The sequence below is a fragment of the Homo sapiens genome, chromosome 8, assembly GCF_000001405.40.
Source record: "Homo sapiens chromosome 8, GRCh38.p14 Primary Assembly".
Lineage (NCBI taxonomy): Eukaryota > Metazoa > Chordata > Mammalia > Primates > Hominidae > Homo > Homo sapiens.
The window spans coordinates 120069176-120087160 of NC_000008.11; the positions used below are offsets into that span (position 1 = coordinate 120069176).

At 43.3% G+C, this 17985-nt stretch overlaps 1 long non-coding RNA gene across 1 annotated transcript in view, besides 1 other annotated feature; it reads left to right on the forward strand.

Moving 5' to 3' along the window:
• The first annotated feature begins 569 nt into the window (after positions 1 to 569).
• The window catches only part of LOC105375730 (uncharacterized), a 37891-nt gene continuing 20475 nt past the window's right edge, over positions 570 to 17985 (forward strand). The window contains exon 1 of the long non-coding RNA XR_928593.4: positions 570 to 1990. This is a non-coding gene — a long non-coding RNA (uncharacterized LOC105375730). The remainder of the gene's footprint in view (positions 1991 to 17985) is intronic.
• Positions 13362 to 13562: a silencer, noted in NCBI's record as "peak7153 fragment used in MPRA reporter construct". NCBI's record gives its function as "represses an SCP1 promoter by STARR-seq MPRAs in K562 erythroleukemia cells {active_cell/tissue: K562}" and the evidence as "EXISTENCE:reporter gene assay evidence [ECO:0000049][PMID:32103011]".

Consider the following 17985-nt stretch of genomic DNA (forward strand, 5'->3'; position numbering starts at 1 on the left):
ACCTTGGGCTTTCATTGAGGAGTTGGGGAACAGAAAGGAAAGCAAGGACTCCATAGAAAAACTTTACGAAAGAGGGCAGCTAGAGGCAGACTTCCCTTCCAACCAAGATTGGCTAGGCTCCCAGTTCTACCTGCCCCGGCTCCTGTTTCAGCTCCATTGTTGGAAAGTACAACTGTGATGGTTAATACTGAGTGTCAACTTGATTGGATTGAAGGATGTAAAGTATTAATCCTGGGTGTGTCTGCAAGGGTGTTGCCAAAGGAGATTAACATTTGAGTCAGTGGGCTGGGAGAGGCAGACCCCCCTTAATCTGGATGGGCACCATCCAGATCAGCTGCCAGCGAATATGAAGCAGGCAGAAAAATGTGAAAAGGTTAGACTGGCCTAGCCTCCCAGGCTACATCTTTCTCCCATGCTGCATGCTTCCTGCCCTGAAATATCGAACTCCAAATTTCTTCAGTTTTGGACTCGAACTAGCTCTCCTTGCTCCTCAGCCTGCAGATGGCCTATTGTGGGACCTTATGATTGTGTTTCTGAGTTAATACTTAATAATCTCTCCCTTATATATGTGTGTGTGTGTGTGTATATACACACTATATATTCTGTTCCTCTAGAGAACCCTAATTCAACAACCGTTTATGATGAAACTTGGAACAAAGAGAGGCGCTACTTTTTGCCACCGTGATAGGATCCTCTCTACCTTGCAGAAGAGTTCTTGGTGGCTAAAACTCAACAAGAATCTGCTTGTCCCCAGCCCAGACTTTCTCTGGGAGAAAAGGAATGGATAAACGTATGGAAGATTGATTGAGTGACTGTGGGCTCCCACCCAAAGAGATGATTCAGTCCAGTGGCAGGGAGAAGAGTGAGACCCAGTGGAACGTGATTTCGCAATGGGCCCGTTGCCACGACAGGGAACACACTGTTTACTAAAGAGAGCTCTTCAACCTCTCAGTCATCTTTGCCTTCCAGAAAACTGCAGCCTCAACTCTAGTAAGTAATCCACCGGCTCAGCCCAAGCCCTGTTGGAGCGGATAGGGCTATCCTTGCCACAGTACTGAACAGCAGGAATGTTGCTCGCAAAGCCTGCCCTTTGGAAGTAGCCAGCAAGGCTGAAAGTGCTCAACCACTCTTTGGAATGCCACATTGTATATGGGAAGTTCCATAATGCGCTACTAATAAGTAAAGTTTCTCTTGCTGGGTTGTAAGTATCTGGGCAAGTCACAGGAAATTCTTCTTGGAACTAAGCAATATGGGAATAAACACACGTATTAACATCTGCTCATGATAACTAGCTAATGAAATAGCCCACTTTGGCCCAGAGTTCGGGATAATGAAACAAATGACTGGTGGTTAATAAATCGCTTCAGTGCCGGTATATGTTCACTGTACATCTTGTGTGTCCCGTGTGTTCATTTGTTCTTTCAATTGATTCTTCTTTCATTGTCCAAGACACAGTCTTTGTTTTTAAACTTTTTATTCACATATGCACTGGTTGCTGTGGCCTCCTTCTGGACTGAGACACTCATTTACCTGGCTGCTAGGAGTGCTGGTGGTCAGTAGCTCTCATCTGAGCCTCTCTCCAAAAATGACCTCTGCTAAAGAGAGCTGCCTGGTTCAAGGTCATGCTCCCTTCCCTATGGTAGCCCACAATTTTAAAGAAAGGACTGACTACATTGCAAATACTTGAAGACACCTCTTAAAAAATTGATATGTAATCAATGTGGACATGTAAAGACCCAGCCCTTAAAGCCCAATTTAAGATAACCTGGAAGGGCCACTTGCTGGCTACTTCCACAGGGCAGGGTTTGTAGCGGAAAAGCCATCACAGCTCCAGAGTTTCCAGTGGGCTTGACTGAGGCCTTTGACTGTCTCTCAGTTCATCTGCTTGCTGTGCTCATTGCTGCCTTTCTTCTTTCACAGATACTGTTCCTAAGAGCATCTGCCCCAGTCAACTTCTCATCCACAGATATTAATCTCAGTCAACCTCCAGGTAACCTGACCCCTGATGCTATATAACGTAAACCCTGAAAAGTGGCCAGGAGCGATGACTCATGTCTGTAATCCCAGAGCTTTGGGAGGCTGAGGCAGGAGGATCCCTTGAGGCCAGGAGTTTGAGAACAGCCAGGGCAACATAGCAAGTCCCTGTCTCTGCAAAAATAATTACAAATTAGCCAGATGTGGAGGTAACTACTTGGAGGCTGAGTGGGGAGGATCACTTGAACTCAGGAGTTTTTGGTTACAGTGAACTATGATGGTGAGACCCTGTGTCAAAAAAGAAAAAAATGAAAGTGCCTTGATTATAATGGTACCACTTCATGAATTTTACAAAATGAACACACCTGTATGACCAGCCTCCACCTCCCTTCTAACCTAAGGGTAACCACTGTTATCACTCCTAACAGTACAGATTTGTTTTTACCTGTTCTAGGGCTTTGTCTAAACGGTATTATATAGTGTACATTGTTTTTGTGTTTGGCTTCCATTACTCAACATCTTGTCGGTGGGATTCATTCACGTTGTGTGAGGCTGTACAATCATTCCCATTTCTTTTCTTTTCTTTTTTTTTTTTTTTGAGACGGAGTCTCACTCTGCCGCCTGGGCTGGAGTACAGTGGTGCAATCTCAGCTCGCTGCAAGCTCCACCTCCCGGGTTCATGCCATTCTCCTGCTTCAGCCTCCCGAGTAGCTGGGACTACAGGCGCCCGCCACCATGCCCAGCTAATTTTTTGTATTTTTAGTAGAGACGGAGTTTCACCATGTTAGCCAGGATGGCCTCGATCTCCTGACCTCGTGATCCACCCGCCTCGGCCTCTCAAAGTGCTGGGATTACAGGCATGAGCCACTGCACCCAGCCAATTCATTCCCATTTCTATGTAATATTCCATGTGGGAATATAATACCATTTATTTTTCTATTCTTAGGTTGATGAATATTGGGTAGTTCCAGTTTGAGGCAATTATACATCTGTAGTGAGCATACTAGAATATGTTTTTGGATGGGCCTAAGCACTCATTGCTGTAGGGAACTGCATATATTTAGTTTGTGTAGATACTGCCAAGCAGTTTTCCAAAGTGGTTGTACCAATTTATACTGCCACTTGCAGTGTATGAGCATTAAGACCAATACCTGGTGTTTTCTCCACCCTTTTCATCTCAGCCACTGTGGTGAGTGTGTGGTGGTAGTATATTGTGGTTTTAATTTGGACTTCCCTGGAGGCCAGTGACACTAAGCACATTTTATATGTTTATTGGTTATTTGGACATTCTCCTTGGAGGATGTCTATTTGAGTCTTTGCCCATTTTCTGTTGGTTTGTCAAGACAGTCTTTTCTTTACCGTTGGCTGCTGGGAGATCCTACAGAGGCCATCTCTGGAGGAGAGGGAAAGAGGAGTCATATTTTGTTTAAGGACAAAAGTAAGAAACAGATAAATAAAACATACAGAGAAGCATGTAGGAAATAATAAACACGGGCTTCAAAGCTGCTGGAGAAGGGAAGAAATGAGATTCATCCACAACAGCAAAGTCATAGACTTGAATGGGGAAAAGTAAATTGAGGTGGGGTTGAGGAAGCCACAGAAAAAGATGAGGTCCAGGCCAGTCGCGGTGGCTCACGCCTGTAATCCCAGCACTTTGGGAGGCCGAGGCAAGTGGATCACCTGAGGTCAGGAGTTCAAGAACAGCCTAACTAACATGGTGAAAGCCCATCTCTACAAAAAAATACAAAAATTAGCCAGGCATGATGGCAGGTACCTGTAATCCTAGCTACTTGGGAGACTGAGGTGGGAGAATCACTTGAACCCAGGAGGCGGAGGTTGCAGTGAGCTGAAATCATGTAATTGCATTCCAGCCTGGGTGACAGAGTGAGACTCTGTCTTAAAAAAAAAAAAGAAAGAAAAAGAAAAAGATTGAGTCCAGCTATTGGACTCAGGAAAGACAAAGTGGTAGCTTTGGGTGGGTGCCAGCAAGAATCACGAAAATCCACTCAGCTGATGAGACTGTGTGATTGTAAGAATAGTTAGAGAAGGCTGTGTTTACCAGCTGGTATACAAAAAAGAAGTTAGAATAAAACACAATGACTGTTACTGGTCTTGTGTATCCAGGCAGAGTCACGAGCTGAGTAAATAGATAGCATGGCTTTAGAAGAGAAGGTGTATATTTTTTTCAGGCTCACTGAACCACTACATGTGAGAAATAACAAGGGCAGAGTGACCTGGAACACAAAAACGTCATTATTCCTGCAGCTCTGCTCCTGGGGAGTAGCCCACAATCACAAGCAGCAGGAGGGGAGTGGAGTCACATCTATAGTGGCTTTGCAATCTTTTACTGCCTACTACAAAATTGGCCCTCTTCACACTGCATCTTCAGCATGGGACCTGTCCTTATCCTGGAAATAGCTTTTCTTTGCTAAATATTGCAGCCTGGCTCGACCCCGAACATCCGCTCGGTTCAGTCACTTGGAGTTTCCTTCTTTCTGCCAGATCAATCATCTGCTCCTGTTGTATCAGTGAATGTGATTAGAATTATCTCCCTTTGTTGGGAAGACAGACTCTAATGGTGTAGAGTTCTATTTTGTTTTTGTTTTTTCTTTGAGCAGAAACATGGGCACCATGACATTCTTCTGTGAAAATCCAGCATAATAATCTTCAGTTGGCTAAAGTTAGGATGTACTATTAACTGTTTCACTTCCACTTGGTTATAAGCCAGTGATTTTGAAGTTTATGACTGTGACCCATGGGAGAGTGTTCAATATGGGACCTGTCCTTACTGCCACAGGGAATTTTGAAAATACTGTAGATCTTGCTTTTCTGTCAGTTTGACCTGAAAGGAGTTCTTCATGTTGGAATACTATTGGGAGTTCCATATAGGGTCATCATATTGCGTCCTCATAGCTGACCCTAAAAACTGGGATTCTCTTTAACCTTTCCAAATCCCCATCTGAGGACTTGTGCTCTGGACAAGACCTTATTGTTTGCAAGAATAGACTGTCTTGAGAGAACCTTTTTATTTTAGGGATGGAGCCAGAATGAAGTTACTTTCCACAAACCTATTCTAACCTATTGATCCTGCAGGAACCATTTTCCTATTGGTAGAAGGGACTGCAGAGAAAAGTTACTCTCTCATTTACTCATTTGCTTATTTGGTGAATTTTTTTTTTTTTTTTTGACAGAGTTTCGCTATTTTGCCCAGGCTGGAGTGAAGTGGCACGATCTCAGCTCACTGCAACCTCCATCCCCTGGGGTTCAAGCAATTCTCCTGCCTCAGCCTCCTGAGTAGCTGGGATTATAGACACCTGCCACCATGCCCAGCTAATTTTTTGTTTGTTCGTTTGTTTTTGTATTTTTAGTGGAGACCGGGTTTCATGATGTTGGTCAGGCTGGTCTCAAACTCCTGACCTCAGGTGATCCACCCCCCTCGGCCTCCCAAAGTGCTAGGATTACAGGTGTCAGCCACCGTGCCCGCCCCATTTGGTGATATTTTTATTGAGCATCTGCTATGTGTCTGGTGCTTTGCACCCTAGAGACACAGCAGAAAAGAGCCAGACATAGTACCTTTGTGAAGCTTTTATTCTAGTGGGTGAGATAGACATTAATCTAGTGGCTTCAATAAAATGTAACAATAAGGAAGCACAGATATCTTTCTCTCAGAGGGGTTAAACTTGTTCTGTGCTTTTGCTTTTGTTGTCTAATAGAAAGCAGTAATTCTCTTTTCTACCAATAACTTGGAGAAAAAAAAAAGTAGTAATTGAAAAACTCTAAGCGGAGGTTCTGCAGCAGTGGTTCTCAAGCAGGCCTGATTTTGTCCCCAGGGGGCATTTGGCAATGTCTCCAAAGATATTTGGTCATCACAACTGAGTACTACTAGCATCTGGTGCGTTAAGCTTTTTATAATGAACAGGATGGCCCAAAATGTCAGCAACACAAGGGTTAGAAACTGCTGTCTATATCATATGGGTAATACTTTAATTTGAGACGGAGTTTTGCTCTTCCGCCCAGGCTGGAGTGCAGTGGTGCAATCTTGGCTCACTGCAACTTCCGCCTTCCAGTTTCAAGCGATTCTCCTGCCTCAGCCTTCTGAGTAGCTGGGATTACAGGCTCCTGCCACCATGCCCAGCTATTTTTTTTTGTATTTTTAGTAGAGATGGGGTTTCACTATGTTGGCCAGGTTGGTCTCTAACTCCTGACCTCGTGATCCGCCTGCCTTCGGCCTCCCAAAGTGCTGGGATTACAGATGTGAGCCACCGTGCCCGGCCCAGAGTAGCTTTCGCCTTTTATTTTTAAAACATAAATTCTTTGGTATTATATTTACTACTAATAATATATTAACACTTTGTGGGCCAGGTATTGTGCTAAGAACTTTTCATTGATCATCTCATTTATTCATGAGAAAATATGAAATAAGGAAAAGTATCCTCATTTCACAAATAAGAAAACAGAGGTTCAGAGAGATTAAATAATGTCCTTTGGGATTTGAAACCAGGTTTGGCAAAGCCTAGGCTCTTAACCACCTTACTCTCTATCCCTTCTTGTGATACTGTCATTACTTTGCATTCTTATGAAGTTTTGTAGTTTCAAAGAATTTTCATATGATTATCTCCAAAGCACAAACTTATGATAAAGCACTGGCTTGGAAGTCAAGTGTATGTTTGAGTGTGGTCCTCCTTTACACTGTGACCTCAGGTAAATTATTATTATTATTATTTGAGATGGAGTCTTGCTCTGTTGCCCAGGCTGGAGTGCAGTGGCATGGTCTCAGCTCACTGCAACCTCCACCTCCCAGGTTCAAGCAATTCTTGTGCCTCAGCCTTCCAAGTAGCTGAGACTGCAGGTGTGTGTCACCACACCCAGCTAATTTTTTGTATTTTTAGTAGAGACAGGGTTTTGCCATGTTGGCCAGGCTGGTCTTGAACTCCTGATCTCAAATGATCCTCCTGCCTCAGCCTCCCAAAGTGCTGGGATTACAGGTATGAGCCACCAGGCCCAGCCTCAGATAAATTATTTGACATCTTTTAGCCTCAGTAGTCTTCTAAAACCAGAGCATTGAACTAGAATTATTTCTCAGGTCGCTTTCAGATTTGGGGGTTGTTTATTACTGCAGCATAACCTCGATCTAACTGTTTCAGTATACTCCATAAAACTTATATTTCAGTTTTATATATCATCATACAAAATGAATCTATTTTGTGATAAATAAAAATGATATAAGATAAATATAAGATAAATGACATAAGATAAAAATGCAGTCTATGTTAGTGGCTATCAAACTTCTTGCTTACAATGTACAGTAGGAGATTCATTTTGGGCTGGGTGTGGTGGCTTATGCCTGTAATCCCAGCACTTTGAGAGGCTGAGGCGGGTGGATCACCTGAGATCAGGAGTTCAAGACCAGCCTGGCCAACATGGTGAAACCCTATCTCTACTAAAAATACAAAAATTAGCTGGGCATGGTGGCGGGCACCTGTAATCCTGGCTACTCGGGAAGCTGAGACAGGAGGATCACTTGAACCTGGGAGGTGGAGGTTGCAGTGAGCCAAGATCACACCACTGCATACCAGCCTGGGCGGCAAGAACAAAACTCTCTCTTTCTCTCAAAAAAAAAAAAAAAAAAGGATTCATTTTGTATAATGACATATGTAACTGAAATATAAGTTTTACACAGCATACTGAAACAGATCAACTAGGTTATGCTGCAGTAATAAACAACCACAAATCTCAGGGGCTTAAAACAATAAAAATTTTGTTCTGGCTTGTGTTGTGTGCATCATGAGGTGGCTGGGAATCCTGCTCCATTTTTTTCTTCATCCCAGGACTCTGGATGGAGCAGCCTCCATCTCAAAGGTCACCAACATCAGCAGTAGAGAGAAAGGGAGCACAGCAAATCTGTAGTGGCTCTTAAAGCTTCACCTGGAGCGATACACATCACTTCTCCTCACATGTTATTGGCTAAGTCATTTGGCCACACCTAACTTCAAGGAGTGGGGAAATGCCATCCCTTCATGTGCCTGGGAAAGAAACTAAAAACAACTGATGAACAGCATGAATGACTGCCACAAGCATGTACCCTTACCGTGTAGATACATTCTGATGTTTTCTTTTCTTTTTAATTCAACTAGGTACTAGTCTACTCTACCCTACCCTATTCTATTCTGTTCCTTTTATTTTATTTTTTAAGGCAGTCTCACTCTGTTGCCTAGGCTGGAGTGTGGTGGTGCAATCTCGGCTCACTGCAACCTCCACCTCCTGGGTTCAAGAGGTTCTCCTGCCTCAGCCTCCCGAGTAGCTGGGACTACAGGTGTGTGCCACCACACCCAGATAATTTTTGTATTTTTAGTAGAGACGGGGTTTCACCATGTTGGTCAGGCTGGTCTTAATCTCTTGACCTTGTAATCTGTCTGCCTTGCGCTCCCAAAGTGCTAGGATTACAGGTGTGAGCCACCGTGCCTGGCCTAAAACCTTTTTTTAAAAAAATTATACTGCCTTCCAGAAAATGCTAGTCAGAACCCTATATATTGATTTCAAAACTCTCCTATGACTGTGATTGGGTCACAGTCATAAACTTCAAAATCACTGGCTTATATCCAAGTGGAAGTGAAACAGTTAATAGTAAACTCCAACTTTAGCCAATTGGAGATTATTATGCTGGATTTACACAGAAAAATGTCATAATGCCCATGTTTCTGCTCAAAGGGAAAACAAAACAAAATAGAACTCTACACAAGCCTGTCCTCTCAACAAAGGGAGATAATTCTAATCACATTCGCTGATACAACAGCAGCAAATGATTGCTCTGGCAGAAAGAAGGAAACCCCAAGTGACTGAGCCGAGTGGGATGTTCAGGGTACAGCCAGGCTGTAATATTTAGCAAACAAAGAAAAGCTATTTCCAGCCGGGCTCGGTGGCTCACGCCTGTAATCCCAGCACTTTGGAAGGCCGAGGCAGGCGGATCACCTGAGGTCAGGAGTTCGAGACCAGCCTGGTCAACGTGGTGAAACCCTGTCTCTGCTAAAAATGCAAAAAAAATAAGCTGGGCATAGTGGTGTGTGCCTGTAATCCTAGCTACTGAGGAGGCTGAGGCAAGAGAATCGCTTGAACCTTGGAGGAGGAGGTTGCAGTGAGCTGAGATTGCGTCACTGCACTGTAGCCTGGGCAACAGAGAAGGACTCTGTCAAAAAAAAAAAAAAAAAAAAGAGAGAGAAAATAAAAGCTATTTCCAGGAAAATGGGTATATGAGTAGAATTGCCTCTCCTAAAAAAGAGATGTTGGAGTCTTACCCTCTGTACCTCCGAACATAATGTTATTTGGAGATAGGGTCTTTACAGAGGTAATCAAGTTAAAATGAAGTCATCAGGGTGGGCTCTAGTCCAATGACTAATGTCCTCATAACAAGGACAAACTTGGATGCAGAGACAGACATGCACAGAGGAAAGACGATGTGCAGAAACACGGGGAGATCGAGGCCACCTACAAGCCAAGGAGAGAGACCTGGAAGAGATCCTTCCCTCACAGCCCTCAGAAGGAGCCAACCCTGCTAACACCTTAATATTGGACTTCTAGCCTCTAGAACTGTGAGACAGTGAATTTCTGTTGTTTAGTCCACCCAGCTTTTGGTACTTTGTCATGGCAGCCCTAGGAAGCTAATACAATGGGGGAACATGGCTCCAGCAGTAAGCAGAGCATACTGGAGGTAAGCAAGACCTCACTGGCAATATCATAAGAGGGTATATAAAATTTTTCTGCAAACAGTGATGAAGGCACTGGCATAAGAAAGTTATATGCAAGCAAAGAACACTGTGAGACACATATAACAGTTTCAACAAACCCTGGGCAATTCAAAGAAGACAATCTGGGCCTGGTGTAGTGGCTCATCCTTGTAATCCCAGCACTTTGGGAGGTTGAGGTGGGTGGATCACTTGAGGTCAGGAGTTTGAGACCAGCCTGGCCAACATGGTGAAACCCCATCTCTATTTTAAAAAATACAAAAATTAGCCAAGTATGGTGGTACACGCCTATGATCCCAGCTACTTGGGAGGCTGAGGCAGGAGAACTTCTTGAACCCAGGAGGCAGAGGTTGCAGCGAGCCGAGATCATGCCACTGCACTCCAGACTCTTGGGCGACAGAGCGAGACTGTCTCAAAAAAAGAAAAAGAAAAAACTTAAATGAAAAACAAAGAAGAGAATCTGTACCACAGCAGAAAAGGCCAGTATTCTTACTAACATAAACTAATGATTTTCAGCATTTCCTGGTTAAGGAGAGTAATTGGCATTCTTTGGTAGAATACCATTGAATAGTAACTAGAATTTGAGCTACATAATTACGGTATATTAATTGCACAGTAAAGTATAAATAATTCGTATTGTAGAGTGTATTGTTCAGTTCATCTCAACAAATTCTATTGTTGTTTCATAAAGCCCCAAGTTAAAAAAATACTCTCTAGCAATTATTGTAAGTAGATTGATGTAACAGATAGAACTTACCTATTTACAACAGACATATTTAGACGCAGAGCAGGAAATACCACATTTTACATGGCCAACGTATGCGGGTCATGCTGGTTGCATCCTGCACAGCTGTAGGCAACAACATTCACACAAACTGTGAGGAATGATGCTTCCTGGAATCATGCCCTACAGTGGTCTTACGCAGATAAGTAATCTCTCTCATAGGCCTTGTAGGGCTTTTATCAATTTATTTATTTTTAAATTTTTTTCCTGACTATACCGGGTAACAAAAGCTCTTACCACAAGATGATGGATTCAAAATTATTAGTTGGCTCTATTTCCATGTGAAGGAAATGAGACTTTGTGAAACTGTCATGGAGAATACCACCAAAGTGTCACAGCTGATAGCTTAGATATGTTAACTTAGATACATTAAGATAACTTAGATACAATAACGAAGACACATTACTGGAACTTAGAACAGTGTTCTTCTACCTGCGTCCCTACCTCACTCCTTCTGGTTGCAGAGCAAAAAAACAAAAACAAAAAAAAGCAAAACCCAACAATCTTTGAGACAATGCAATAATTAAACAGGGAATATACAGTTGAATGTAGGTTTATAAAGATAGAAGGAATGTTAAAATTCTCAGCAAATTTAACAATTCAGTTCCAGAGAACTTGCCATGACCTATGATACATGAATACAAGAATTAAAAATGGTGTCACCAAGAGCTTTGGCTCTATATGAAAAATATTGAAGCAAAAAAAAAAAAGGAGATCTAAAATCTGGAAGCTTCTCCCATCCAGCCTGCAGCTTGGGGTTGTCTTTGTGCCGACAGCTGCCCAGTAAGTCAGAAGATACCTGAAGGCTTGGATCTCCCTGTTGCCATGTTGTTTACTCAGGAAAAGCCCCAGCCAAGAGTCACATCTTTTAAGAACTGTGAAAAAAAGCAAGTAATCTGTCTTACCTATTTAATGGTGAGAAACACTGAAAAGATTGATAGGAATGCCCCTCTTCTGCTGAATCCAACTCTGCAAACTGGTTGGAGAGCTGAAAGGGAAGTGTGAAGAAGAGAAAGAGGGAAGGAAGGGCAGATTTGGGAACTGGTGGATCGCTGTTGTATGTGGATTCTGTGTATGAACAATAGTCCTTCTGCAATGAGAAGACTGGTTACAAGAATCCCAGTGGTCCTGAAATTTTTTTTGTTGCTATTTTCTGTTTTTTTTTTTTTTTTTTTTTAAGAGGTGGTAAACTCAAATGCCATGTTGGCATGTGGGTATGGAAATGTGTGCAGAGGCAGGGGATAAGGCGATGGTGAGTAGAGGGACTGTGGTTAGCTGCAGACAGCGTGCTCCTCCTAAAGCATTCAAATTCACAACAGTGTTTTTTGTTAAAACAAAATAGAACCAAACCACTGCCCTAATGAAACAAACACTTCTGCAGGCCCGATGATCCCCTTAACTCACACCTTTGTAATCCCAGATCGAAAGGATCAGAAGCTGGCAGAAGCTGTGCCTCTGCATCTTCTAAAAGTCACAATTCGTCCATAGAGTACTGCTTTTTGTTTTGTTTGTTTGTTTGTTTGAGGCAGAGTTTCGCCCTTGTCGCCCAGGCTGGAGTGCAATGGCACGATCTTGGCTCACTGCAACCTCTGCCTCCCAGGTTTAAGCAATTCTCCTGCCTCAGCCTCCCGAGTAGCTGGGATCACAGGCATGCACCACCACACCCAGCAAATTTTTGTATTTTTAGTAGAGAGGAGGTTTCACCATGTTGGCCAGCCTAGTCTTGAACTCCTGACTTCAGATGATCCACCCACCTCAGCCTCCCAAAGTGCTGGGATTACAGGCATCAGCCACCACAACTGGCCTGTTTTTTTGTTTTGTTTTGTTTTGTTTTGTTTTGTTTTGAGACAAATTCTCACTCTGCCACCCAGTCTGGAGTGCAGTGGTGTGATTGCAGTTCGCTGCAACCTCTACCTCCCGAGCTCAAGGGATTCTTCTACCTCACCCTCCCAAATAGCTGGGACTATAGGTGTGCGCCACCACACCCGCCTAATTTTTGTAGTTTTAGTAGAGATGAGTTTTGCCATGTTGGCCAGGCTGATCTGGAACTCCTGGCCTCAAGTGATCTGCTTGCCTTGGCCTCCCAAAGTGTTGGGATTATAGGTGTGAGCCACAGTGCCTGGCCTGAATGCTGTTTTACTAATAATTTGCCACCTTATTTGTAAGTACAGTCTTGATTAGATAATTTACCAAAGAACATTGATAATTCTTCCTAGAAATAAAGGTAGAGGGAATCATATTATTTACATACAGGCTTGGCTATTTAGTAGGCTAGGGTTTAGAATCTGTGCCCATACATTTTAATGAAGTATAATTTTGTGTTGATTACTTCTATCTAGATAGGAAGATATGTTGCTTTCTAGAGTTTATGTAAGCTTTGTCTCTTTAAGGAGGCTAATACCATTAAGCTAATAATAATAACGGGTAACATTTATTGACCTTCCTATGTGTCAGACACCATATACTTTACATGGAATATCTTGTTGTGTCTCATTTAATTCTTGCAACAACCCTCTAAGGCAGGTAGTGTTGCTATCCTCATTATACAGATGAGAATGCCAAGGCACAGATAGGTTAAGGAACTTTCCTAAAGTCACCCTGTAAGTGGCAGAGATGGAGTTTGAATTCAGGAGGTGTGGCCGAGTTAGCAGTCATAAATCTAACTAACTAAGTAACTAACTAACTAACAAACAAACATCAAAATCTCTTGTCCACTCACGGGACTCCTTTACCAAGTCTCTTGAATTCTTGCCTAGGCCAGTGGAGAGAGTTATCCCAGAGCCTCAGACCTGCAGGCACACCGACTCCCACTGCCTTGCAGAAAGAGGTTCAGGAGCAGTGTTTTTGGTAGTCGCTTGAACTATTTCTTCTGGGAACATCATTATCTCTGTTGTGATTCCTCAGAGCAGTAGTCAAGGTCTCAGAGTAAAGGCCTCCCTGCATACTTGTGGCCACTTATCTCACTGGGCATGCGAGACAATGTCCAAGTTACGCAAGACAGGCTGACGAGCATCCTATTAGCACGAAAACATGATGCACCCTGGGTGGATGAGTTTGGACTCATAGCTGGTCCCCAGGCCTAAACTTCCCAGAAGAGTGGGAGAATCAGTGGCTTCCTTTTGAATTCCCAGGCAGTGTGCCCGGTCACAAGGCATTCCCCAGGAAGGGTGAAGCTGTCTTGGGACGCAGAAGTTTGGAACACCATCTGGGAATTAACAAAGAGATAAGATTTTCAGTTCAATGGCATTCAAGTTGATTTATGCTTCAGTACCAGGGACTTGATATCAAGTCCCTAGAGAAATAGGGACATACCGGGACTATTAGTGAATCAAACAGAAAAGAAGAAGTAGGCTAATAAGCATCCTTAGGAAAGGGAGGGAGGAAGGCTGTCCTGCTTTCAACTTAATAAGGAGTTTGTCCTAAGTAGGAGGACATTTCTCTATGTTCAGCTTTTAGCAAGGCTGTGGCTGTTGTAATCTGCAATCTGTTTTCTCTCTGCCTGGCTAGGGCCTGGGCTCCTCTTTGGCTGTCTCAGTCTCACTTTGGCTCTTTCTGGCCCTACAGCTACCCTGGTTCCACCATGTCTTCCTCCTGGCCCTCTGGCTCTGCCACCCACATTCGGGTTCTGCCTTGGGGCAGCCCTATCCTTTGCCGCAGCGGGCATGTAGGACACCTTCAGGGTCTCCACACTGCTGCCTTCCAAGGTCTCTTGGAGCCTCAGGATCTCGTGGACCCTCTACAGAAAATTGTCTGGGGAAGCTCAGAGTCATTTACTTTCTCTACTAACCACGAAGGACAGCCAGGTTTACTTTGAGGTGGCCATTGCCTAGTTGGGCAGCTAAGGAGTGGCCATCACTTCTAGAGTCCTGAGTATGAAGGAGGGTAGAAATCTCTCTTCCCATTGGCTTTCTTCAGCCTTCAGGCTCTATTTCCAAGAAGAAAACCCAAAACAAACACACCGACCACTTCATCCTCCTCCTTTCTTTCTGTATACCTTCTTCCCACAGTCCCTTCAGTTAGAAGAGGCAAGATTTTTGCCTACTCTCTGACATTGTAGCCACCTTTAAGCATAGAGCAGCAAGTCCCAGGGCCTGACTGTCATGGGCAGAAAAGGAAGCTTCCCTACATTACGAAAAACTGCAAATTCATCCACCAGCCCTGACCTTGATTTAAAGATGGGCTCTACAAAGTGCTATAGCAAATCCTTGTTTTCTCTCCTCAGAAAGTCTGATTTCATTGTCTTTCTAAAGAGGGCAGGTAGGTAAGAGAATGCAATAAAACATGATTCAAGGGAGAAATGAAAATGCACAGTTTTAACATTTGCAAAATACATTTTTAAAACTGTCTCAACCTAACCATTTCCTTAAGGCCTCCTTGATGTTGAAGATTCGTGCATAATTACATTGAGAGCATAGGTCTGTTCTGGAAGTTGATTCATGTTTTACTCCAATTGAACTATTCATCTTTAGTGACAAAGTGTCAGTCACCTATGCCCTAATTGGTGTCCACAGAAAATAGAAACCTTATCCATGGGTCTTTTGGTGAGAAGTCAGTCATTTTCAGCATGTAGCAGGGATCTTTAATCCAGGAAGACCATATGAGACAACATGGGGTGGAAAAATACTCAGAGAGGCCAGGCGTGGTGGCCCACGCCTATAATCCCAGCACTTTGGGAGGCTGAGGAAGGCGGGTCACCTGAGGTCAGGAGTTCAAGATCAGCCTGGCCAACATGGTGAAACCCCGTTTCTACTAAAAATACAAAAATTAGCTGGACATGGTGGTGTGCGCCTGTAATCCCAGCTATTTGGGAGGCCGAGGCTGGAGAATTGCTTGAACCAGGGAGGCAGAGGTTGCAGTGAGCCGAGATCGCGCCACTGTACTCCAGCCTGGGTGACAGAGTGAGACCCTGTCCCCCCTCCAAAAAAGAAAAAAATACTCAATTGATAGTAGGAAGCATTAGTGACGGTCCTTGTTTTGCCACTCTTGAGCTCTGTGACTTAAGGTTACTTAGGATGACTCACTTGATAACTTCTTTGTTTATTTGTATATAGCTTTACCCCAAAAAGCTGAGTCAGCATTTATTTGTAATGTTATGAAATGCTGCCCCCTTGTGTTTTTGCAGGGTTCATTTAATTTCTGTTTTGATTTTAAAATAAATTTTTAATTTAAAACTTATTGACCTGTTAAAAATTTTCTTTGTTTCTATCATTTCTTTTTTGGCTCACTCATCTTCCTAACTGCCAAAATCAAACGAGTAGCTACTACTACACCTCATTAAGTTAAAAGCTCTCTTACAATATCCTTGGAGAAATGTAAATATCATTTTAACAATAGAGAAAGGCAATACTTGCTGTTTCTTATTCCTAAGAGAATCATTCCTGGACTTGGAACATGGACTTGCTGGCCCCGCTCAGCTCCTATTGGACTAAATATTCCTGACTTTTCGTTTAAGGAAGAGCAAAGTCTTCTTCTAAATGCCAACCTCATTCCCTTAGAGTGGTCATTCTTTCATCTGGAATACTGCAGCCACTCAGACAAACTACCCTGTAATAGCCCAGATGTCACTTGGGGATATCTTGTCCCTTGGAGAATTGTGGAGAACATGGCCCAGGCACAAATTTTAGTGCCTAGGATCTGAAAGACTTTAAAATGATTTCTATTGCTTGGCTTCCTGAGCCACAATAAGTGTGACGTTCCATCCCTTCTTTTCTTCTTAAAAAAAAAAAAAAAGACCAAAATATTTAAAAAATACTGCCCCCCCCCTTCTTTTTTTTGTCAGGGTCTCGCTCTGTCACCCAGGCTGGAGTGCAGTGGCAGGGTCTCAGCTCACTACAGCATCTGCCTCCTGGGTTCAAGTGATTTTCCTGCCTCAGCCTCCCAAGTAGCTGGGATTACAGGCATGGACAACCATGCGTGGCTACTTTTTGTATTTTTAGTGGAGATGGGGTTTCACCATGCTGGTCTGAAACTCCTGACCTCAAGTTATCCACCAGCCTGATAAATATGTATTTTATTTATTTATTTATTTATTTTTGAGACAGGGTTTTGCTCTTGTTGCCCAGGCTGGAGTGCAATGGTGCAATTTCGGCTTACTGCAACCTCTGCCTCCTGGGTTCAAGTGAGTCTCCCGCCTCAGCCTCCCGAAGTAGCTGGGATTACAGGCACCTACCACCATGACCAGCTAATTAGTTTTTTGTATTTTTAGTTGAGATGGGGTTTCACCATGTTGGCCAGGCTGGTCTTGAACTCCTGACCTCAGGTGATCCACCTGCCTCGATCTCCCAAAATGTTGGGATTACAGGCGTGAGCCACCGTGCCTGGCCTAAATATGTATTTTAATATTTATATATATATATATTTTTTTTTTTTTTGTGATGGAGTTTCACTCTTGTTGCCCAGGCTGGAGTGCAATGGCGCGATCTCGGCTCACCACATGCAACCTCTGCCTCTCGAGTTCAAGAGATTCTCCTGCCTCAGCCTCCCGAGTAGCTGGGATTACAGGCATGAGCCACTATGCCTGGCTAATTTTACATTTTTAGTAGAAATGGGGTTTCTCCATGTTGGTCAGGCTGGTCTCGAACTCCTGACCTCAGGTGATCTGCCCGCCTCGGCCTCCCAAAGTGCTGGGATTACAGGCATGAGCCACCGCGCCCGGCCTTACATAAAAATATTTTGATGCAATAAATTTTAATGTAAAATTTGCACATTTTGCGGCATACAAATTATACCTCAATCATTTATTCCAGTTTTTAAATTTGTTTATTCTCAATGGCAGGGTTGGCCCCAAATAACCTTCCTCTTAGGCAAACACCTTATATAACCATAGTACAATTACCAAAGCCAGGAAATTAAAATTGGCACTATACTAACTAAATGTAGACTCTATTTCAATTTCATTAGTGTTTCAACTATTGTCCTTTTTTAGTTCCAGGATCCTATCCAGAACTCCATATGACATTTAGTTGTTATTTCTCCTTAGTCTCCTTCAGTCTGTAGCAGTTCCAATTGGGAGCAGAAGTTTCCACATCTTCTACTTTAGGCACACAAATTCAACCACACCTGGAATTTCATGATGTTTAGCAGCGTCTTGGGAGATGGGACCCTAGATTTCATTATCTCTTTAGGTTCTCTCTTCAAGCTCCACTTTGTCCCCACATAATAATCCACTGTCACCAAGGAAATGTAGCCCCGTCCCCAGGTCTCATTGCTTCTCTCATGGAGTAACTGTGCCAGGTTAGGCTGACTCCACTGTAGGAGCTCAGAAAATGACACCCCAAAATACAATGCTTTGGCTTGTTGAGTACTTAGAACTAAAGGAGATTGGAAGGCCTCAGAAGTAGCCTCAGAAGCAAAGTCTCTCTCTCCAACATTCTCCTGCCCTGAGGTCTCCTCTCCTTTTTCCTTGATGGCAAGCCATAGAAATTATAATTCGAGGCCAGGCACAGTGGCTCATGCCTGTAATCCCAGCATTTTGGGAGGCCAAGGCAG